The following is a 24,919-nucleotide window of genomic DNA, read 5'->3' as shown; positions in this document are numbered from 1 at the left end:
CTGTACATAAATAATTTTTTAATGGAAGCTATTTTGTTTCCTTTCTGTCCTTCCCCCCCCTACATCAATGGAAATCATTTCAGTACCATATAAATGATATGTAATCTGATAATATGACCATCTCTGATTATGCCATTTCCCAGAATACAGGAACCCCGAACCCTTCATCTTGAGGATTCAAGTTCTCATTTAAATGCACAAATACAATGTATAATAAGCTTCCGCTCTGTCTCCACAGAGGTGTTTTCCCACCGGGAAAAATGGCTGGAAAGACCTAGAGTTCCAGGGAGTGAGGGGCGAGGCTTACCTGAGTGTGTGGTTTCTTGCTAAGCTTGGCTGACGCTCTTGCAGCATTTCAAAAATGTTTGGCTGGCGAAGAAATGCCACAATCTTGTCATTATATGCTGAAACAGACAAAAGCACAGTTGTGGTTGAGTCTGCAGCCCAGAGATAATCACTCTGATGATTGGAAAATGGCTGCTTGATACCAGGATTAATGAAGGAGTTTGAAGGGCAGGCAGCATACTCATCAAAAAAATGCAAGCTCTTGAGAGTTTTTAAAATATGACATAATAACATTATAATTTTTTAAGGGATCAAACTAAAAGTGAACCAGATCTCTGTTAATCGTCCTTAACGTTTCAGGATCTTTACTGGGTATTAATGCATCTCTGCATGAACAGGTAAAGGAGAACAAAATAGCTCTCCCATAAGAGGAGTTCTCCTCTCTTCCTTCTAACTTTTCTTGGTCATTTTGCTGTAGTTATGGAAAAGATTCTTTATGAGTGCAAAGTAATCCATGTGTCGATTTCCCAGTAGTGATAATGGAAATACCATTTAGATGCTCTCATTTCATTTTCCTCGATACAAGTGGCATATGTTTTGGAAAGAGGTGGCTGAAGTTAGGAATGGACACTGCAAACTTTATGCCATACATACATGGAAAGAGAGGTATACATTAAAAACTGTCTAAAAACAGTAAAATTCACCTCATTTAAACCTTGCTCTTGTGCACGGGATTAACAAATCACTGAATAGAATAAGGAAGAAAGGACCTGAGAGTTTGGGAAAGAACAGAAAAGACAGGGAGGGGAACAGATAGGTGAGGAGGAAGGGAGAGGGGAAAAGGACAGAGGGGTGGATGGTAGCAGGGGTCGGGGTGTGCACTATATCCTAAAAGAGGAGAAAGGAAAGACAGAATGTTGAATAGTAAAGGGTTCATGACAAAAACCAGAAAAACAAACAAAAAATCAAGTCTAGGTGTTGCTATTCTTTGAGCCAGGGGCTCAAACAAGCATGATACATACCCAGTGGCAATGACTCATGTTGATGTTGGCTTCGAATAGCAGCTACTAAGCTGTGTCCTGGCCTGGCCAGTAAAGAGGCTCCTCTGTTTCTAGAAACTTCTGAGGCCTAATTTTAGAATAAAAGCATAAGCATTAGAAATTTGTATCAATTTCAGATGTCTCTTGATACCAGTTTTTCAACCTAAGGGGTAAAAGATTTTGAAGTCACCTAAGTTGAAAAAGTAAAAAAGTGATGGAAAAGAAAGCTTACAAAAGTGTCTAAGTAGAGTTGATGATGTGCTATACTATGGTTAAGAAAGCCATCTGGCTCACGCCTGTAATCCTAGCACTTGGGGAGGCTGAGACCTTGATAACAAGGTCAGGAGTTTGAGACCAGCCTGGCCAACATAGTGAAACCCCATCTCTACTAAAAATACAAAACTTAGCCAGATGTGGTGGCAGATGCCTGTCATCCCACCTACTTGGGAAGCTGAGGCAGAAGAATCACTTGAACCTGGGAGGTAGGGGTTGCTGTGAGCCGAAATCACTCTGGCCTGGGCAACAGAGGAAGGCTCTGTTTCAAAAAAAAAGAAGTGATCATGTCAAAGTCATGAATATTAATCAAATTAATACACTGAATAGCCCAAGAAACATTTCTCATCATAAATTTGTTAAAGAGAGATAAATCCTAGATAAATATCATTGGTAAGGTACGCCTATAACTTTCCAAGGTAGCATTGAACTTTAGTACCAAATGTATAATGGACTTCTTGTTTAAATAGTATTGATTACATTCATTCTTTCTTGAATGCCTGTTATTGCATTCACTGTGCTGGCTTCTGTTCACATAGCATCTTATATATCCTAACAAATTCTGCAAGATAAGCATTATTAACCAAAATTTACAAATAGGGAATCTGAGGATCCAGGAAAAGTAAAGTTTCCCCAGGTTTACAACCGTAAGACAGGGGGATAACCAGGATTCTAATACTTGACTGCAAAGCACTTGTTTACTCCTTCCACACTGCCTGCCTGCTTCCAATATCTTGGTTCAGCTTAGGCATTTTGACAAAACTTCAGAGATAAATAACTTGCTTAGCCTAAAGTTGATACTTGTGATGATTAACTTTAAACTAAATTAGCTCAATTTTGCCAGTGCGGTGGCTCACACCTGTAATCCCAGCACTTTGGGAGGCTGAGGCAGGTGGATCACTTGAGGATAGGAGTTTGAGATTGGCCACCAGGGTGAAACCCCATTTCCACTAAAAATCTAAAAATAAGCCAGGCATGGTGGCGCATGCCTGTAATCCTAGCTACTCGGAAGGCTGAGGCACGAGAATCCCTTGAACCCAGGAGGCATAGGTTGCAGTGAACCGAGATTGCACCATTGCACTCCAGCCTGGGCGACACAGCAAGACTCTATCTCAAAAACAAAACAAAACAAAACAAAAAAACTAACTTAGCTCAATTTTAAATTTTGTAAATTAAAAAAAATCACCTTTGTAAAAGGTGAAAGAAAACTTTGCTGATCAATAAACTATGCAGTTCTAGAGCATGATAATGGACATTCTCACTGTGATTCTACATACATTTTGTTTTTTAAGACCCTTGCAGAGTAAGATGTTAAAATCTATAGAGGCATTATAGATTTTCCACATTGCAGTACATTCACCAGATATATGGGATTTAATGTAGAGTGTAACTCATCCTATGATATTTGTCAAAGTATGCTAAAATAGGCTTTAAAATAGTTAAGAATTTTGAAGTGTTAAAGACTTTAGACAAAGTAAACTTACAGAGTTTAATTGATCAAAGAATGGTGTGAGAATGGGGTGGTCCTCACTCAGAACCAGAACCAGAAAGGGAGGAGAGAGCTCCATTCTGCAACCATGGGCAGGCAGCATTTACGGTTGGGGAATGGGAGCATGGTACGGAAGCAGCTCAGTGTTTGCCTTATTTGAACATGGTCTGATCAGTTAGCCACCTGCAACTGACTGAAGCTTGGCTGTTGTGATTGGCTGAGACTCAACCCTTTGTTGCCAAAGTATACTCCCAAATTAGGCTTTCAGTTAATTCATGTCCCAAGTGAGGTGGCAATCCATTACGTAATGACTCAAAAGTATGAAGGCATCCTCAAGCCAAGTTTAATTTAATGTAACAGATGATAATTTTGTAAGACACTTAGAAAGAGTTCAAACATCCAGATTTAAAAAAAAGGAAAGACATTTCTCCCTCTGAGACCAGCATAAAACTCACTCACACAGAATTCAGGAAGGTGATGAGGACCAGTGCTACAAAGTCTAGACAAGTCAGTTCCAAACGGCCACTTAAGAATAGGCCATGTGTGATATTGCAGATCGTAATGTAGGGCAAATTACTTAACGATCCCTAATGACAAACACAGGCATTGCTGATTTTCCTTTGGTTCCCACTTCCATATTCCACACCCAAGGATAACATCCTTTGTATGCAGACAGGGGCCACCAGTTCACTCTCTGTGTGTGGTAGTCTTTGCTGCTTTTCTGGAAGTTGGGTAGAGATGCAGATGCATCTGTTTTCTCTCCTGGTCCTTCTTATTGCCCATGGCCTACTTGAAGGACAAGGGAGTAGATTTTGTGCCACTTTGGTGGACTTCTCACTTTGATGTCATTAGATCTCAGCTCTGCTCAGCTGGCAAAGCCAGACACCAGGGTTTAGAAGCTGGTATTTCTGCAGCAGCACATTCCAGTCTCAAATGTTTACAAAGCAAAAGATGAAAGAAAAGTTTGCTGATCAATAAACTATGCAGTATTGAATCCTCATACTTCTCTTTTTTCTCCATGAATAAATAAATAAATAAATATGTAAAGGCTTTCTGGGATTGAAATTATAAGTCTCTTTTTCTTGGAGGGAATCATGCCAGTTTGCCTTAACGTGTATTTAAAATATTATTGATCTTGTAAAGACAGGATTCTCAGAGACCCACCAGCTGAAGGTTATCTAAGTGATAAATTACAGAGGGAAACTGGGGAAACAGCCAGATCTGCTGGCTGAGCTCGGGAAGGCTTGGCTGTGCACTGGACTCAGGAAACATTTGTTGTTTCGCCCTGAGTGAAAGTGTCTAACTGTCAGGGCATCACCCAGAAATGAATAAGGCTTTGAAACAGAAAGAGGCTCACTTCTATTCCTGGCCTTCACAGGAAATTCATTAATGGTGCCTACTTCTGAGGTCACCCACTCACGGGTAAAGCTGAGCCAGATTGAAAAACTTCAGAAACCAGCTGAAGTCCAGTTAGCCCAAAGGCAGATGACTGACTGACAAACATTCTTCATGCCTAATATGAGTGTGATAGAGGAAATAACACAGGGGGAGATACGGCTTGCTGCGTCCCTGAGCCACAGAAATGTCTGCAAACGGTTGGTTGGTACTGGATGGCTCAAAGACCAGAGCCTGGAGAACAGGAGGATTGGATGGAAACGCCCTTCTCCAACAAGGGGCCCAGGAATGGACAGCGATGAAGACAGTTTCAGGCAGGGCTGGAGGAAATTCCGAGGGTCTGTTTGAACTAGGATTTAGTATGTGCTAGGATCCTTGAAGCCCTGTACTGGTACTAAACAATCCATCCCGAGGGACGTCTGACAGCAACTGAGTGACTGATTTGAATCTCACTGCAAACATGATGCCAACATGGCTTTCTTTCTTTTTCTTTCTTTTCTTTTCTTTCTTTCTTTCTCTTTCTTTCTTTCTTTCTTTCTTTCTTTCTTTCTTTCTTTCTTTCTTTCTTTCTCTTTCTTTCTTTCTCTCTCTCTCTTTCTTTCATTTCCTTCCTTCCTTCCTTCCTTCCTTCCTTCCTTCCTTCCTTCCTTCCTTCCTTCCTTCCTTCCTTCCTTCCTTCCTCTTTCTTTCTTTTTTGAGATGGAGTCTCACCCTGTTGCCTAGGCTGGAGTGCAGTGGCGCGATCTTGGCTCACTGCAACCTCTGCCTCCCGGGTTCAAGAGATTCTCATGCCTTAGCCTCCCGAGTAGTTGGGATTACAGGCATGCACCACCATGCCTGGTTAATTTTTCTATTTTTAGTAGAGATGGGGTTTTGCCATGTTGGCCAGGCTGGTTTTGAACTCCTGACTTCAGGTGATCTGCCTGCCTCGGTCTCCCAAAGTGCTGGGATTACAGGCTTTAGCCACTGTGACTGTCTGCCTGGCTGGCTGGCTGGCTGGCTTTCTTTCTTTCTTTTTTCTTTCTCTCTCTCTCTCTCTCTTCCTTTTTTTTTGAGACAGTCTCTGTTATCCAGGCTGGAGTGTAGTGGTGCAATTATAGCTCACTACAAGCTCAAACTCCTGGGCCCAAGCAATCTTCCTGCCTCAGCCTCCTGAATAGCAGGGACTATAGGCACACATCACTGTGCCCAGCTAATTTTAAAAATGTTTTTGTAGAGATGGGTTCTTGCTATGTTGCCTAGGCTGGTCTTGAACTCCTGGCTTCAAGAGATCCTCCTGCCCTGCCTCCCAAAGTGCTGGGATTACAGGTGTGAGCCACCATCCGCGGCCTGCTTTGTTTTCCTAAGGTCAGAAAATGACTACAGGACTGATTTTCCATTTAAAACCAAAATGACATGACTCTAATTTCCTGGCATTTGACCCCTTTGGTCTTATTAAGTTTCTCAGGGGTGTACGTGCGTGTGTGGGCACATGTGGTAAGGGGTGAGCGAGGGGAGAGAGAGCCCTTGGTGGCCTGCCTTTCCCCAGACATGCTGCAACAACTCTTCCATAATTGGGTAAAACCCAGTTTGTAGTAGGGACTACTTTTAGGATTTCTTTTTCTTTTGATATCGATCGCTTTCATCATAATTGTAAATGTGAAAACTTCAAACATTTAGCTCTCCAGACAAAACAAAATAGATATCCTCAGAAAATAGTTTTCAGCAACTGGTAAACAAGCTGCTCTTCAATGTTGCAATTTGGGAATGTACACTTGTGGGTTTCCTTAAAGCTGTGATTGAAAATTGCATGTTTTAGACTGAATTTGGGTTAATAATCAGCTAACCCTCTCTCTGCAAACACTGGAGACTTGATAAAAAAAAATGTAGCAAGTTCACAGGAAGGGCTCAAAGGACGAATTTACATTCCTCTCTAGATTCCTTCTGTGTTCTGAAAATAGATCATTAACAAAGTTGTCAGAATTATCTTAAGGAAACAAAAGAGAGATATTTGAGTTGTTCAATATTTTTATAATAAGAAGCGGGCAATAAACATCATGTTCAAGAAAGGCTTGTGTTAAATGATGGTAGATCCATGTGATTAAATATAGAAAAATGTTAATGGTGTGGAAACTGTCTACGAGGCACTAGGATATAGAACCATAGACAACACAATCTAATGTCTTTATTTTTATGTGTACCTGTGTCTCCAGATGGGGAATTATGCTTTTCCATCTGTGTCTGTATTCTGCATTCATTACATATTGTTCATACAGTGATGTGCCACATAGCGATGTTTCAGTCAACAATGGATGCATAGGCAATGGTGTTCCCATAAGCTTATAATAGAGCTGAAAAAGTCCTATCACTGGTCATGTCATAGCTGTCACAATGTCAGGTGTAATTGCTTTAAAAAAATAAAATTAGGCCAGGCACGGTGGCTCACGCCTGTAATCCCAGCACTTTGGGAGGCCGAGGCAGGTGGATCATGAGGTCAGGAGTTTGAGACCAGCCTGGCCAACACGGTGAAACCCCGTCTCTACTAAAGATACAAAAAATTAGCCGGGTGTAGGGGTGCGTGCCTGTAGCCTCAGCTACTCAGGAGGCTGAGGCAGAAGAATCACTTGAACCCAGGAGGAGGAGTTTGCAGCGAGCCAAGATCGTGCCATTGCACTCCGTGCCATTGCACTCCAGCCTGGGAGACAGGGTGAGACTCCATCTCAAAAAAAAAAAAATCGAACCAACCCAAATGCCCATCAATGATAGACTGGATAAAGAAAATGTGGCACATATACACCATGGAATACTATGCAGCCATAATAAAGGATGAGTTCGTGTCCTTGGCAGGGACATGGATGAAATGGATGAAACTGGAAACCATCATTCTCAGCAAAGTAACACAAGAAGAGAAAATCAAACACCTCATGTTCTCACTCATAAGTGGGAGTTGAACAATGAGAACACATGGACACAGGGAGGGGAACATGACACACAGGGGCCTGTAGTGGGGTTGGGGGCTGGGGGAGGAAGAGCATTAGGAGAAATACCTAATGTAAATGATGAGTTAATGGGTGCAGCAAACCCACATGGCACATGTATACAAATGTAACAAACCTGCGCATTGTAAACATGTACCCCAGAACTTAAAGTATAATAATAAAAAAAATTTAGTGTAGCCTAAGTGTGCAGTGTTTATATTCTACATTAGTGTACAGTAATGTCCTAGGCCTCACAGTCACTCACTCACTGACTCACCCAGAGCCACTTCCGTCCTTCAAGCTCCATTCACTGTAAGTATCCTATACAGGTGTACTATTTTTTAAATCTTTTATATTGTATTTTTACTTTACCTTTTCTATGTTTAGATATGTTTAGAGGCACAAATACCATTGTGTTACAACTGCCTACAGGATTCTGTACAGTTAATATGCTGTACAGGTTTGCAGCCTGGGAGCCATAGCCATACCGTACAGCCTAGGTGTGTGGTAGGCTATACCATCTAGGTTTGTGTAAGCGCACTCTAGGATGTCCACAGTGACAAGATTGCCTAACAACAACATTTTCAGAATGTATCCCTGCTGTTAAGTGATGTATGACTGTAATTAAACAGTTTATTTTCAAAGGTGTCTGAATTTTACAAACTTCCAGCCAAACCTGTGATCAAGTGCAGGTTACATTGAGCCAAGAGGAAAATGACCAATTTTAAGAAGCAATGCAGCAATTACTCTCCCCAAAAGCAAGCTTCCTGAATGAAGATTCCTTCATGTCACCAGAGCCCATGAAATGACTTCTGCCATCAAAGAAGCTCACTGCAAAGAATGACTAAGAGTGACTTCTGCTTCTAAAGTGAGAAGCAAGCTTCTCTTCCCTGTCAGACTCTTGCCCTTTCCTGAGGCAGTCACTGTCAAGCTTTTTTTTCGGTGTGTACCTTCCAGAAATTTTCTATGACTAACGATTTTCTAACCTGACCAAGATAAGATGGCAAAAGAAATGAAAATTATGTGCTCTGCTTATCCTTCCTTATTGATGTCAACTTATATTAGGAATTGCAGTGTAAACAAGGCAAATGTGTTACCCTTTCGTGATTTCCTTGCTAAGATGGGATCCAGTATTCATAGCACTCCACTTATCTGTGACCTATTCTGGTCACACATTCTGAGGAGAGATAAGGCCTGCTTTGCTGGTGCTTGAATATATTGCAGACAGATGTGCCTCCGCCTTAAAATGCAAGTGAAAGTGTCAAATAACGATCTTTTTATGTATAAATCCTATATTCGTAATAACTGCTTTCAGGAATCTGTCTGAAAATTTTCCAGGTGAGGTAAAGGACAATCCAAAATATTTTTAACAATGTTTCTATTAATAATCTGCCATTGGGGTTTGAAGAAAAACATTTTACCATTTAGGATCCTTAATATAGAAACCCATTTTAATTCTGTCCTTACATGCAATTTATAAAAAAATCAACTGCTGAATAACACTCAAGAGAATGGCTTATGTAGGTGAACAGAAAATACCCACACTTGTAAGTTGTAGTCTAAGAAATATCTATAGTTAATTCCCTATTGCCTGTGATACGGGACACAGAAAAATAATGGATTATGGAAATAACCCATCGATGATTGCTGAGTCTCATATTTCCATCTGTTTAACTGTCATATCTAATCAGATACCCTGCTATTTTCACACACATTATCAACTTGCCTAAAGACAAACCTGCCATCCTTCCGTCCTGCCTTTCCTGCTCCTCTTAGCTCTATGTAGTTAATGGGTCTCTTAGTTATGCGGTCCTGAAGACGTGGAATCAAGCCCCACAGACTCTGAGAATCACACAGCTGGAACACACGTTAGTGGTCACCCATTTGCAGAGGAAGCTGGGGTCCCTGGCAGGGGAGGAATGAACAATGATTGATACTCAGCTCCTCTGTGGACATGCCGGAGCTGGAACGCCTGTCTGCAGACTGAAGTCCCAGTGACTTTTTCCTCCACAACCCCTGACTTCCTTGAGCCTTCTCCCTATGGGCTGCCCTTTGTTTTCTCTTTGTCACCTCAACTCGGCCTCATCCCCTTCCATCTGATTGTGGCAGTGGTCTCTAGCAGGCCTCTCTCGAATAGCTCTTTGCCACAGCCCTTCCTCTTCTTGGCTTTCATTGTCTTCTTTTAAAAATATAAGTTTGTGGCTGGGCGTGGTGGCTCACGTCTGTAATCCCAGCACTTTGGGAGGCCGAGGCAGGCAGATCACTTGAGGTCAAGAGTTCGAGACCAGTCTGGCCAGCATGGTGAAACCCCGTCTCTACTGAAAATACAAAAATTAAACAGGTGTGGTGGTGCACGCCTGTAATCCCAACTACTTGGGAGGCTGAGGCAGGAGAATCGCTTGAACCCAGGAGGCAGAGGTTGCAGTGAGCCGAGATCGCACCACTGCACTCCAGCCTGGGTGACAGAGCGAGACTCTAGCTCAAAAAAAAAAAAAAAAAAAGAGTTTGCATGGATGACTGTTAGGAAACCTGAGCTGTGGTCCTGAACTCCCTATGTGAAGTGAGCTCTTGGTATTTCAGTTTACTGGACTGTAAAATAATGGTTCTTCACTGGGGTAATGCTACCATCTATGGGTGTGTGGAAATGCTGGGGGGCTGTTCTGTTTTGTTTTGTCATAATGACTTGGGGAACTGGGGGCACTCCTGACATTTAATGGATGGGGTCAGGAAAAAAAGTCCTGCAAGGTAATGGGATGATTCCACACATCAGAGAATTGTCCTGCCCCAAATGCCAAGAGTCTTTCCCCATCTCTCAAATGTGTTTTAGAGATGACTTCACCCTGAAACAATGGATGAATCAATTACTTTCCTCAAATTCATTCAGTGGTCCCTTAAAAAAGTTCCAACTCTTCCATGCAGCACTAAAGTTTTCTGAAAACCAAGGCACAGCAAGCGGGAACCTGTTGCTTGGCTCAGACCGAACTAGTCACTGTCTCTCTGTGAGCCTTTCTCAATCCGACCTCTGCACCTTTGCTTAGGCTGTGCTCTGTAAGGCTTCCCTTCCCCATCCTTTGTACCTATTCTACCAGTTTTCAAGTTCTAGTCAGGTACTTTATTTTATTTTATTATTTGTTTTGTTTTGTTGAGACAGAGTCTTGCACTGTTGCCTAGGCTGGAGTGCAGTGGTGTGAACACATTTAGCTTCAGCCTCTACCTCCCAGGCTCAAGCCATCCTCCCACTTCAGCCTCCCGAGAAGCTGGGAGCACAGGTGCACGCCACCACATCTGACTAATTTTTAAATTTTTGTAGAGAAAAGGTCCTGCCATGCTGCCCAGACTGGTTGCAAACTCCTAGGCTCAAGTGATGCTCCCATCTCAGCTTCCCAAAGTGTTTTCATTACAGGCATGAGTCACTGTGCCTGGCCAGGCACCTTATTTTAAAAGATACTTTTCCTTGGCTTCTTTTGAACTTTTGTGGCACTTATCCTAACATCTCTCTTGCCACTCAACCATATTCTGATTTCTCTCGTTACTTAACTCTGTATGTATTTTTGGCCTGGCTTCAAAAGTGGAATACAAACTTCTCTAAGGCAGGGATTGTCTCATATTTTGCATTCCACAGTGCTCATAGCAAGCCATGCATGGAATCAATTTTTGCTGAGCAAAATCACATCACAGCAAATGCAGTCAACATTTCCTACCACCCACTCCCCTCTATTTTGATACCAGAGTCCCTCTGTCTCCTTATCCCTAGGCTGAGGGCTCTTGCAGTGGGAGGAACCACATATTTATTTTCTTAGAGGCCGAGTCTTTGTTTTCTCTGGTGCACTGCCTCTGGATCAGATACTCTCTGCCTCTTGGCTTCTCTCTCCGTTGCTTTTCTTGGTGTCCTCTTCTGTCAGCCAAAAGCTACCAGAAGAGAGAGGATGGGCATAGGGATGGGTGAGGTTTGGAAATGTGACGAACAGTCAGGGTGGATGCATTAGGAAGCAGACAGATGGCTGGTACACAGCAACGCCCTTTCATCATATGTGTTAGAGTCTTCCAGCTAGTTCTTTTTTTTTTTTTTTTTTTGAGATGGAGTCTCGCTGTGTCGCTCAGGCTGGAGTGCAGTGGTGCCATCTCGGCTCACTGCAAGCTCTGCCTCCCGGGTTCACGCCTCAGCCTCCCGAGTAGCTGGGACTACAGGCACCCGCCACCATGCCTGACTAATTTTTTGTATTATTTTAGTAGAGATGGGGTTTCACCATGTTAGCCAGGATGGTCTTGATCTCCTGACCTCGTGATCTGCCTGCCTCGACCTCCTAAAGTGCTGGGATTACAGGTGTGAGCCATCACACCTGGCCCCAGCTAGTTCTTAACTGATACAGATGGCACTTTGCCATACATGTTATGGCAAATGATATTAATGATTTAAATGATATTAAATTAACTCTATTTGGGCTATTCAATCACATGAAACACATGTTTTAAAACAGGTAATGCAAGTGGTGTCCATGGTTTCAGTCTTGTTCTTTCAGTTAGAAAGGTTTTAAATATTTACATTTCAGACTAATTTCTTGTAATTGTAAGAGATCTGTATTTTAGGGACTTAATCTTGCACAACTGAAGTTTTTGTTTTATTGACAGTGAATCTGTCTGCAGTACTCAGCTACTTTATCACATGTAGTTACCCTATGTGGATACTGAAATTGTCTTAATGAGATTAAAGAGCTTGAACTTTTTAAAGGCATATTCAACTTCATGAAGAATTTTGAATTTATTCCCTATAATCTCAAGACAACCCACCTTGTACTTTGTGAAGTGTTACAGGAATGCCACCAGGGAGGGAGACTACGCATGTTGAACTGGGAAGCTGGGGCATTGCTTTCTGTAGTCTGTGAACACGTCTGCATCTAGCAAATCCTGACACCCATGTAATGCTCAGGGATGTGTAGTACTCCCTCTCTGCCTAGTCACATACACCTTATATATATGAAGAAAGAAAGATTTAGCATGCTTTCAGCAGTCTCCTGAAACAATGATACTTAAGACGACTCCATGAAAAAACATTCATTTTATCACACTGGCATTAAGCCATGAGTGCCACTGGTTGGAAATAGTTATGTTTCTCAGAGTATACACAGGACTCCTTCTGAAAAAGTGGTAAATAACTGGTGCCGATACATCAACAATAGGCTCTTCCCTTGAGACTTATGTTTGCTATCTGGAGGAGGTGGCTGCAGGGTGAATTGTTATCTTCCCAGTTTCTCTGGAGAGAAACTCCCTGGCTCTCCCTGGAATGACTCACTGTGGCATATGTGTGTGTGTGTATATATATATATATATGCGTATATATGTGTGTGTGTGTGTATATATATATATGCGTATATATGTGTGTGTATATATATACACACACACACACATATGTACACACACACACACGCACACACACACAAACTCACTCACCTACATACACATATATTCCTTTCCTTCCTACTCCATATTTTTGATTTTTTAACCTTATGATAATCCAATTCTAAAAGCTGTTTTATGGGAAGTAGTTCTCAGAAGCCACATCTCTTGAGGTCCTGGTGGTTTCCACAAAAAGAAGGCACAGATACTTGGGAAATGTCAATTAGGACATAAAAAGAAATTTGCTCATGATATTGTCAGGAACTGATCAGGAGCAAAAAAAGAGCTATGTTTTGAGTTTTGGCTCGAGAAAGAAGGGCAGGAAGAGTATGGGATATAGATACTAATTCAGAAAGGCAATGAAGTGATCCTTAGCCTTTCATGGTAGCCACAAAGTGCTGCCAAGGAAAGAGCACATTGTAGAGCGCGAATAGAGTGGGAATAGAGCACCACTTCCTGTGGCCTGGTTAATTCCCCCTAGTTTCTAGTCCATGGATACATTATTGAAGTATTTTCTAGGATGTTTTGGAGAGGTAGAAGTTTAAAGTTAGTCAGACATACCATGGCAGTTCCATGTATTCACACATGACAGGCCTCAGGAGGCACAGCTCCAGCCATAAGTGTAGGGATCTCCTGACAGTGCATTTTCAGTTTCCTTTCAACTAGACAGGTTTTTAGTAGTGGTGATTGTGTGGGACAAAAGGCAAGGCAGAAAAGGTAACTGAAGACAGCTCTGGGGTGTTAAGTGGGTGTCCCGGTCATCATTCTTCTACAAAGCAGGGTGCATATGGCTTAATCTCTTCCAGCGCAGGCAACCCTAGATCCTAGCCACTGAAGAACTGTTCTGCTCCCATGGAAGAGGCAGAGACTGTGACCGGTGAACAGTAGGGCGGGGTGTAGGGAGGGTTACCTCTCCAGCGCTGTAACTTCGGAGCCTCTGGAGGTGCTGTCGGTGAGTTAGATGATTGGGAAGACGACCGTTCTGAAGAGGGATTCGGGGGTCAATGAAAGTGGTAGCTCGACTGTTGTGGTCCACGAAAAAAGACTGCGAACAGACCAGTGAAAAAAAGCACCGTGTGGTGTGAGAATAGGCCAAAATGGAGTCAGTAATATACAGGAGTGCTACAGGGCCCAGGCCTCAGGTTTATTTCTGCCCAGCCTCCCCTACCCCTACTTCCTTTTTTAATCTACTCAAAACTCATCTATCTAGTTCAGGTTAAAAACTTGGCTGCACAGCAGGAGGTGAGCCACGGGCGAGTGAGCATTACCACTTGAGCTCCACCTCCTGTCAGATCAGTGGTGCCATTAGATTCTCATAGGAGCACAAACCCCATTGTGAACCGTGCATGTGTGGGATCTGGGTTGCACACTCCTTATGAGAATCTAATGCCTGATGATCTGTCACCGTCTCTCGTTACCCCCAGATGGCAGCATCTAATCACAGAAAACCAGCTCAGGGCTCCCACTGATTATACATCACAGTGAGCTATAGGATTATTTCATTATATAATACAATGTAATAATAATACAAATAAAGTGCATAATAAATGTAATGTGCTTGTCTTCCTAAAACTATCCCCTACCCTCCCATCCGTGGAAAAATTGCCTTCCATAAAACTGGTCCCTGGTGTCAGAAAGGTTGGAGACCACTGATCTAAATGGGGAACAGGACACTGTGCCTGTTTGCTCAGTAGCTGAATGAAGCAGTATCAGTCATAGATAAAACATGGAGTTTCTAAGTAGTGACTATAATACTTTATTCAACACAGAAAGTAAGAGCAATAGAGCCTTTACTGGGTTAAGATAATACTAGTAATTAATAATTTGTAGAGTATTTTATTTATATTTAAGATAAATGCTCTTTTTTATTATAGAATGTGTATATTTTCACTGAGAAAAAACTTTAAAAAGATAAAAAAGTAGAAAGAAGATAATAAAAATCACCCCAAATCAAAAAAAATTTTGATTTTTTCCTCCTTAGTTTTTTCTTTTCTATACATTCAAATATATACATATTTTCTTCACATCAAGATCTATAATTTTATGAGGTTTTTCACTTGTTATTTTATAAGTATTTCCCTAAATTATTAAATATTCTTTTAATGGAGAATTTTAATGACTACATGATATTGTTTGATGGAAGTATAACAATTAATTTTAGTACCCTTAATTGTTAGACATTTGACTTTTTTACTGTTTTAAAATAATGCTTCAATGAACACTTTTTTTTTGAGACGGAGTTTCACTCTCATTGCCTGTCACCCAGGCTGGAGTGCAGTGGCGCGATCTCAGCTCACTGCAACCTCTGCCTCCTGGGTTCAAGTGATTCTCCTGCCTCAGCCTCCTGAGTAGCTGGGATTACAGGTGCACACCCCCACACCCAGCTAATTTTGTATTTTTAGTACAGATGGGGTTTCTCCATGTTGGTCAGGCTGATCTCGAGCTCCTGACCTCAGGTGATCTGCCCACCTCGCCCTCCCAAAGTGCTGGGGTTACAGGCGTGAGCCACCAAGCCTGGCCGAACACTCTCGAATATAAATCCTTGTGCCATGTCTGAGTACCATATATATTCCAATATATGGCAACATTGTTCTTTAAATTTAAAATTATCTCTCATAAAAGAGAAAGTTATTACCTTTTTTTTCAACAAAACCCTTTGTACCATAAGACAACTTTTTAATTACTCTCTTTTCAACCAACAGTAACATTTGGTGAAGTCATATCAGCTTTAAATGACCTCAATCAATGCTAGTTTTAGATATTTTTAGGTTTACCTGACAAAAGTAGTTAAAAGAAATTTTATACAGATTTAGAAATTATTCTTGGAAGGTATGAGCTTATAATTTCAAGTATTTGATGTCACTGTAAACAAGCAGTTTAAAGAGCTTTATAAAAACTCATACAGGAAGTGGTTTCATAATTGAGATAAAAATACACCCCCCAGGAAAAAGGTAAATAACAACACTACTAATATCATGTGAATCAATATTTGTGACTTGCAGTAAAATTCCCCAAGATAGCATGCCACACAGATTCAAAAAGGGCTGTATGTTCAATTGGAACTGAAGATGATATACCCTTGAAAAATTGGTAGAGGACTCAAAAAATGACACTAGTGACGTCAAAAATACAAGGAAATGGAATGAGACTTAAATGGGAATGGGAAAAAACAAAATGCATCAACATGCTTTTTAAACACACAAGTGTAAGCTAACCTAACAAATATTAAAAATAGACTTTTCATTATTCAAATACATGCTGAGATGTTTAGAAATTAAATTAAATAGGTTCCTTATATTTGTGTATCTGTGGCAATTGTTTAGTATGCATTTCTAAAAGTTGAATTAATTACTTGGTTAAAGTTAGAAAAATATTTATGATTATTGATCCATACTAATAAACTATCTTCACAACAGTTGTCCAGATCTATCATGTTACCATTAGTTCATGAATCTTCCTCTTTATAATGCTCTCACAAATACTAATTTTGAAAGAACTCTTAGAAATGTTAAATGGTAAATAATGATGAATTACAATTTCCCAGGGAATCTACAAAAGAAAAACATTTTCTCATGGGCTAATTAGTCATTCCTTCCTTAGTGTGTTGCCTGCGATGTCTGTTCCCTTTTTTGCTATTGTTGTCGGGATGTTAAAGTTTTCTTATTTATTATCCAAGTGCTAAGTTATACATCTGCTTTCAAATTTGCTTTTGATATTTGTTTGCTTTATTTTCTAATACACTGAATTTTTAATATTCCTATGTATTCAAATCTCTCAATCATTCCTCTCCAGGGGTCAGTTAAGTGTTTAACTATATTTTTCTAGCTTTAGTTTAGGTGAGTTAATCGTTAACACTAAATCTTTACCTTTCTGAAACTTATTTTGGTATAATATTAAGTTGTAGTTTGACAGTTTTCTCAGAGAGCTCACTTTTCCAAATCATTCATTTCCTATTGTTTTATTATAAATACATTTCTTATAAATACTACTGTGTTTCAGGATATTTTATTTGCTCCAGTGGCCTGAGGCTTTTCACTGGTACCGCACTATTCCAATTATTAACATCTGTAGGGCAAGTTTCCTCTTTCTTTTCCAATATTTTCTTACATATTCTTGTCTGTTTTCATTTTTCCAGAGGAACTAATATTAATTTTATTAAGTTCCAAAAATAGTTCTATTGGGATTTTGTTTAGAATCACTTTGAGACTGCAAATGATTTCGGAGAGAATTCTTTCCTCATGATAGTTGGTGTAACCATTTCCCATTTCTGAACATGTCTATTAAAGAATTTTTTTCTTAGTACAGTTTTGTAGTTGTTTTACTGAAAGACACATATTTCTGGTTAAGATAATTTATAGGTATTTAATATTATCTGTTGCTCTTCTGAGTGTATCTTTTCCTATAATGTTTTATAACCCTTCATTGCTGGTACTCAGGAAAGTTATTATTTGTGTATTTACTTTTTGTCTGCTCATCATATTAAATGCTTCCATCAAATAAATGACTCTTAAGTATATCCTCTTGGATTTTTAATTGCAAATCATGTTAATTTTGTCTCCTTCTTTAGGAGGGCTCTTCTATTTTTACCTCCTTTTTTTGTAATATTGGTGAGTACTTCTAGAACAACGTTAAATAAGAAGTGGTGGTTGAAATCTTTTCTTATTCTTGATTTTTAAGGGAAAACTACTAGACCCGATTGTACAATAAGATGTCCACTGTTTTAAAGGAGGCTTTATTAGGTCACGAAAACATATTTACATTCTTAGTTTACCAAGAGTATTTGTTTTTAAAATATAAATGTGTATTCATCACACCTGTAATCCCAGCACTTTGGGAGGCCAAAGTAGGTGGATCTCTTGAGCTTGGGAGTTTGAGACTAGCCTGGGCAACATGGCGAAAACCTGTCTCTACCAAAAAAATACAAAAATATACCAAAAAAGCTAGGCGTAGTGGTTTTGCATCTGTGGTCCCAGCTACTCAGGAGACTGAGGTGGGAAGATTGCTGGAGCACAGGAAGTCGAGGCTGCAGTGAGCTGTGATCATGCCACTGCATTTCAGCCTAGGACACAGAGCGAGACCCAGTCTCACTAAATAAATAAATAAATAAATATTTAATTTTTATCAAGTAATTTTTAAAAAACACTTCTTAATCAACTGAAATTCCCTAATGCTACTAAGTCTTTGAGTATATCCTTTCTATATTTTATTAAGTATTGTTCACATGTATTTTCAACAATTTCTCAATGGTTTCTAAGTCTTTATTTTATTTTAAGCCCAAGAGTCATCTAGAACATTGCTTTTACTTTCCAGCTGGCAAAGATTTTGTTCTTACAATTGTGCTTAAATTTACTTACAATTCAGTTTTATTGCTATATGGCCACAGGATGTGACCTGGCTATATTCTGCTTTTTTGTTTTCTTTGCATTGTAGACTATCACCACTTACAAAAATAATCATGAAAAGTTGTCAGCTTCATTTTTGGGGCCCTTTTCCTTTTTTGTTGTTGTGGCAAAATATACGTAAAACAATAACAATTTTTAAGTGTACAGTTCAGTGGCATTAAGTATAATAAATTCTCACGGTTGTGCAACCATCACCACTCTCCTTCCCCAGCACTTTTTCACCTTCCCAAATTGAAACACTGTATCCACAAAACAATAACTCCTCATTTTCTACTCCTTGAAGCCCCTGGGAACCTCTGATCTACTTTCTATCTCTATAAATCTATTCTAGGTTCCTCATATGAGTGGAATCATAATTCTTGTCCTTCTGTGTCTTGCTTATTTCACTTAGCACAATGTCTTCAAGGTTCATTCATGTTGTAGCATGTGTCAGAATTTCATTTCTTTGTAAGGACAAACATTTCATTGCAGGTATATACCACATTTTGTTTATCCATTCATGTAAACTCTATTTCTAATAAAAGAATTAATATGTTTCATTCACATAAAGTTATATTATTTAAATCTCAAATTATTTTGTCTATTTAATCTGTCAAACTGATGGATATAAAACACATTTTCCTACTACGACTGTATGTCTTTCATCTCCTTTCATTTCTCCTTGATTTTTCTTTATTTAATATAATGTTATTATTTGGCTCATAAGGTACATGATTATTATATCTTTATTTTGCCATTGATTAATATAAAATATTTCTTTGATCCCCATTTAAGGATTTTTATTTATTTATTTATTTATTTTTTGAGACAGAGTCTCGCTCTGTCGCTCAGGCTGGAGTGCAGTGGCGCCATCTCGGCTCACTGCAAGCTCTGCCTCCCAGGTTCACGCCATTCTCCTGCCTCAGCCTCCCGAGTAGCTGGGACTACAGGCACCCGCCACCATGCCCAGCTAATTTTTTGTATTTTTAGTAGAGACGGGGTTTCACCATGTTAGCTAGGGTGGTCTCGATCTGCTGACCTCGTGATCCACCCGCCTTGGCCTCCCAAAGAGCTGGGATTACAGGCGTGAGCCACCGCGCCTGGCCCATTTAAGGATTATGATTGAAACTCCCCTTTGTATTATATTAATACATCACCACTGGTTTTTCTGTTATTGTCTTCACACTATATTAATATTTATTCTTTTATTTCTAAACTTTCTAAATCACCTCTTAGGTATGTCTTTTTGTAAACTGGATCTGTTTGTTACCAAAGCTGAGAGTGTTTTCCTTTTGGTATCTAAGTTTATCATGTTTCCACCTATTGCCATAACTGTTATGCTTGGCTTTACTTTTTTACTTTACTTACTTACTTGTTATCTTACTTTTATTATTTCCATCTTCTTTGCAATTTTTTGTGTGCTTTGTCATACAAACTCTATTTTGTTTGATTTTATCTTTTGAAGGATTTTGGAAGAGAAAAATTCTATTTTAAATGGTACAAACAGTTGCCTTTTAAGCTTGTCAGATTACCATATTTAACCTTTGTTTTTTAAATGATCCCGTTTTACTCCCCTTGAGCCCAACTAGCATAACTTTCCTTCCCCTGCTCATCTTCCCTATTCTCACTTCCTTACTTTTTTTTTTTTATTCCAGTCTGGTGATGTTGATCCAGACTGTTATTATACAACTATTCCATTTGTATTATACAACTTTTCCCATATTTTATTTAGACTTTTCCAATATGTTTTAAAGCATTTTAACAACAATTACTTTTATTTATACTTAGGTATTTGATTGATTTAAATACTCACCACTAGTCCTTTTTATACTATCATTTTCTCACTATTAATGTCGTGCTTTGATTCATTAGTGATCCATCTGGAGAATGGCTTTTGGTGTTTCATCAGTGTCTTAGTGTGTTTGTGTTGCTACACAGGAATACCTGAAACCAGGAAATTTCTAAAGAAAAAAGGTTTATTTGGCTCATGATCCTGCTGATTGGAAGACTGGGTGTCTGGTGAAAGCCCCAGGCTGCTTCCTTCCACTCACGGTGGAGGGTGAAGGGGAGCATGTGCAGAGATTTCATGGTAAGAGATGAAGCCAGACAGAGTGGGGGTAGAGGGTGGGTGCCAGGCTGTTTTTAACAACCAGCTCTAGAGGGAACTAATAAGGTGAGAACTCACTCATTGCTGCAAGGATGGCACCAGTTCTTCCTGAGGGATCTGTCCCTGTGACCCAAACACCTTCCACTAGGCCCCACCTCCAACACTGCCACAGTGGGGATTAAATTCCAGTGTGAGATTTGAAGGGGTCAAACAAATCATATCCAAACTATCAAACTGTAACAATCAGGATGGGTAAAAGAGTAGGGTAAACTCTGATTTTGCATGAGGTTGTTTTTGTGTCTGTGGATTTCTCTAGTTTCATTTTTAGGATGGGAAATTTGAAGCTTGTCTGATTTTTAATCTTTTGTAGGTAACTTTTATATTATCATGGCTGCATATTGATAAGATTTTTAAAGAATTTCTATTTAAAGACATTCCAGAACATGTGTAGATATATAATGTATTTTAATTACCTTTACTGTAATTTAGTGAGCCCAATTAATCTGCTCACCTTAATAATTTGTTTTAAATCAGCAACATTTTAATTTTAATATTTAATTAATATTTATTTAATATAATTAACATTAATACTTAATTATTCCTGCTATACCTAGTATTCTGGTTTCTTCCCTCAGGTAACTCTATAAGTCATTGGTGCAACAGAGATTTATTGAATGCCAACTATATACTAGGCACGATTCTTGGCCCTTGATGTTTTATCAATGAGCAAAACAAAGATTTCTGTTCTTAAAAAGCTTAAAATCCTGCCACAAGAAACAGACAATAAGCAATAAACCTAATAAATGTGTAAGTGACATGGGGGAGCACATGGCCTAGGGGTCAGGGAAGGTCGTGGTATTAACTTGGATGGTTAGGACAGGCATAGAGAAGATAAGTTTTTTCTTTTTTCAGTTTTTGCATTTCTTTTTTTTTACTGTCTCCTCCACTGATTGAAATCTGGTTCCTTCCTTCTGCTTTAGAGGCTGTTTCCGTGTTCATACGCCATATCAGTGATGAGATTTCACATAGCATCAGTGCTGCTCTGTTTTATCCCTATGCTATTATTACCTTTTGCTTTTCCCTGCAATCTTAAAACAGCTATTTTCAGACTACTTATGTCTGTTTCCTCTCAGCTTGTTTTCTGTTTGCGGCTTTTTCCTCTTAGTTAATAACAGAAGTCATGTGCTCCTGTACCATTTCATGGATGATGAATAGATGTCTTTTAAATAGTTCTATTTTCCAAAGAAAATTATACTTTCTGGGAAAAAAATATACTTTCTGAAAAAAAGACATGCTTTTTGTCAGACCAAGATTCTGTTTGCTTCTTGCAGTAGTGTCTCTTCCTAGGCCCCTTCTCATTTTATTTATTCATTCCTTAGCAGAGGCTGCCTTGGTCTCATGTCTGCCACAAGATAGGACCCATGGGGCCCATCACCCTACCTCTCTGATGGTGACTGCCTCCCTCAGCTTAGACTTGGAATGAGGTTTGAGGCACACATGCAATCTCTATAAAATTGGGCAGAAGGCTCTGTCCTCCTTTCTCAGACTCTGAAGATGGCAGATGAGTCAGATGCCAGCGTGTTCTTTGCCCCGGTCCTCCTGAAGCAGCAGAGCTCTGAGCTGCTTACCTCTGTCCCCTTTGTAGAGATGACCACGCATTCAAAGACACCAAACAGCTCTGCCCATCCCTTCTACTTCCTACCATGGTGGATAATAAAAGCAAATGTTGCCATCTTTGAATGTGTAGATAAAGCAAGAAGCAGATTGTCCAGGGTGAGGGGCAAGGACCTGCTCTGGCCAGCTATGAAGGTGGCTTTTGCATAGTGAGCTATGGCCACCCCACTGTTTAGTGAGTTGTATTCCTAACTCTCAGCCTCCTGTGCAGCATATCCTTTCCAAGTTAGAGGGTGAAACCTGTAAGACACGGTCCAAACATACTTTTCTCAATCTATTCCCCTTATCAATGGGCTTTGGCAATGAGATATTCTTTTATTTCCCCCACTTCACAATCTTGATCTTGGATTATTTTTGGGGACATTAAGAGAAAGTGGTAGATACTACTAATCTGTCATGATATTAATAATCATTCCTTCATTAACTTATTAACTTATTTATCTGGTTGTAAAATCATGAAGGCAACATAGGCATTACTGTTGCTATTTTAAGGCTCAGAAATGTGGAGTGACTTGCACAGGGTCATGTATTTAGACTGAGATGGACTAGTCCATGTATTTTTCCCACTATCCTCCTTTGTTCCTCTCTGACCACCCTATGGACTGTGGTAATACATTGCAAGTCTAAGGCTACTTTCCCCAGCAATTCACTACATGGTATGCCTCTTAGACATTCTGTAACTATGAGTGTGTGTATGTGTGTGTGTTCAATTAATAAGAAATTGCTGAGACCATTTATGTGTGTGTGTGTGAGCATGTGTGTGTAGGCACACAGCTAGTTTGTGTCATAACTGAAAGTCTTCTCATTTGAAATTCAGATTTTTTCTTTCTCATGTATGATATCTTCTTGCTAAAGAGAATTAGGGGGAAGAGGTCTTGTCAGAAATTCCCTCATATGCATTCCCAAATGGAACAAAACTCTCACAGTGCATCTCTGTGCTTCCCTGCTGGTGTGATGACCAGGAGATGTCACATCATCTGCATGTGTGCCATGGAGAACTAGGGCTTATTGCATTGGGAAGCCTCCTTGTCATTCCACTGTGCTCCCTGTCATCCTTATCTTGGTGCAAAAGCTGCAGTCATGGAAATCCAAGGCTCGGCAAACTGTTCACATTGGTGTGTGCTGTTTGCATGATGAACATGGTGGTGTCATCTTGGCATCCTGGTTAAGCAATAAATGTAAACGTGGCTACCCGAAACCGAGCTCTGATAAGCCACTCCTTCACTTTCTGTTCTGGCTCAGGCTTCATTTTCCCACCCTAATACATATCACCAAGTCCCCACATACAAATCATTGTCACTCTCCCAACAGAGGCCACGTCCAGTCAATGAGAAGGTCCCAGGGAGCAGATCCTGGCTACAGTGACTTTTCTACTACACATGTCCTTTCCCCTCCCCTAATTCATCCCTGGTTACAGAGGAGCTGGTCCTGGAGATTCATTTTATGAATGGACTTGTAATGAGTCCCCCATTCTTTCCCCATACACTCCAGAGAGTCCAGGTTCTGAGGCATACTAAGGGGTTTATAGGAGAGAGACTCATGGCTTCGAGGGGACATTGATGCCCCATCAGCTCCCTTTGGGGAACGTGGCTTTGCAGGCCCATGTTCACAGAGGAAAGGACACGTCACAGACATGACTGCAGGCAAAGCTTCTGGTTCCTTGGACCATAAAGAGGGAGGGATTCTCTCTGGTAAAGTTCATAGAAGGTTACACAGGTTCAGTTCTAGTACTTGGCCTGTCCTTTGAATACATCGAGATGGCTGATGAAGATTAGGAAAAATCCTTCTTGTTTTCAGACTCAGCTGGTCTTCTAAAGCATGGCCAGGAAGACCCAGTTTGGGTTAAGGTTATACAGAAGCAAAATGTAAGCCAGGAAGATCACATGGGCCTAGCACACCCCACCCTGCTTGTTAGGCTGTTTTACAGAAAACTTAAGGTGTATTAGAGAAATCACAACAAATAATCTAACAATGTCACTGCATTTAACCAATGAGTTCATCCCCTGAGAGTTAGCTGTCTAAGGAGGCAAACAACCGAAAGGTCATTGGACAGAATTCAGTTCCACATTCCAAACCTAAATTTAAAAAAAATGTAGACAGTGGTTCTTAATTACAGGGAACACATAGCAATGTCACAACAGTTGGCATCTAGCAGCGTGAGGGCTAGGAGTGCTGCTAATGTCCCGTAAGGCACAGGGTATTCCTCAGAGTAGTGCTGAGGTTGAGAAACCCAGATGTGGGTGGTTATCAGCCCCTTTACTGCTGGCGGCCGATAGCACATCTCTCAGACATAACTCCTCCCCACACTCTCCTCCTCACGCCCTTGCTAGCTTCACCCTGGGGAAGGAGCCTGTTTGATGAAAGCCCCGCACGTGGGTCACACTCACCTTTCCCTGCTGGTCCGTTTTGATCTCCCAGCCCCGGGGCAGTTCCAGCCGAGTGTCTGCGAACATGTTGATGAAATTCACCAAGTCCCGGTTGTGCTGGTAGCGTTCAAAATTGCGAGCATCCCGTCGGACTTTCAGAATCATGTGCTTTAAGCAGGTGCTACTGGTGAAGACTCGGTAGGCACTCTGAGACAGGTCAGGGCGGACGGGGTAAGGAGTGGGGAATTAGGAAAAACATAGAGCAAGCACACTATGAGCACCCTAACACTGCTAAGTGTGATTGTGACACAGCAGTTTATTGTGAGTGTGAGGTAGAGGCCTCAGAAAATGAGCTCTTGCTCAAGAAGTAAACACCCAGGAATTCGAGACCAGCCTGGGCTACATAGCGAGACCCTGTCTCTACAAAAAATTTAAAAAATTAGCTGGGCATGGTGGCATGTGCTTGTGATCCCAGCTACTTGGGAGGCTGAGGTGGGAGGATCACCTGAGTCTGAGAATAGAGGCTGCAGTGAGCTATGATTGTGCCGTTGCACTCCA

General features: G+C 40.5%; 1 protein-coding gene across 19 annotated transcripts in view; it reads right to left on the bottom strand.

Annotated features, from left to right (window-relative positions):
* The window catches only part of HECW1 (HECT, C2 and WW domain containing E3 ubiquitin protein ligase 1), a 453,355-nt gene that overhangs the window by 72,514 nt on the left and 355,922 nt on the right, over positions 1-24,919 (bottom strand). For all 19 annotated transcript variants that reach the window (NM_015052.5, XM_017011883.3, NM_001287059.2 and 16 more), the window contains 4 exons: positions 24,383-24,568; positions 13,744-13,878; positions 1,308-1,413; positions 308-404 (listed from right to left, as the gene is read on the bottom strand). In NM_015052.5, coding sequence (NP_055867.3) covers positions 308-404; positions 1,308-1,413; positions 13,744-13,878; positions 24,383-24,568 — 524 coding nt within the window. The remainder of the gene's footprint in view (positions 1-307; positions 405-1,307; positions 1,414-13,743; positions 13,879-24,382; positions 24,569-24,919) is intronic.

Source organism: Homo sapiens, chromosome 7 (assembly GCF_000001405.40).
Source record: "Homo sapiens chromosome 7, GRCh38.p14 Primary Assembly".
Classification (NCBI taxonomy): domain Eukaryota; kingdom Metazoa; phylum Chordata; class Mammalia; order Primates; family Hominidae; genus Homo; species Homo sapiens.
This window is presented reverse-complemented; position numbering and strand designations above follow the sequence as displayed.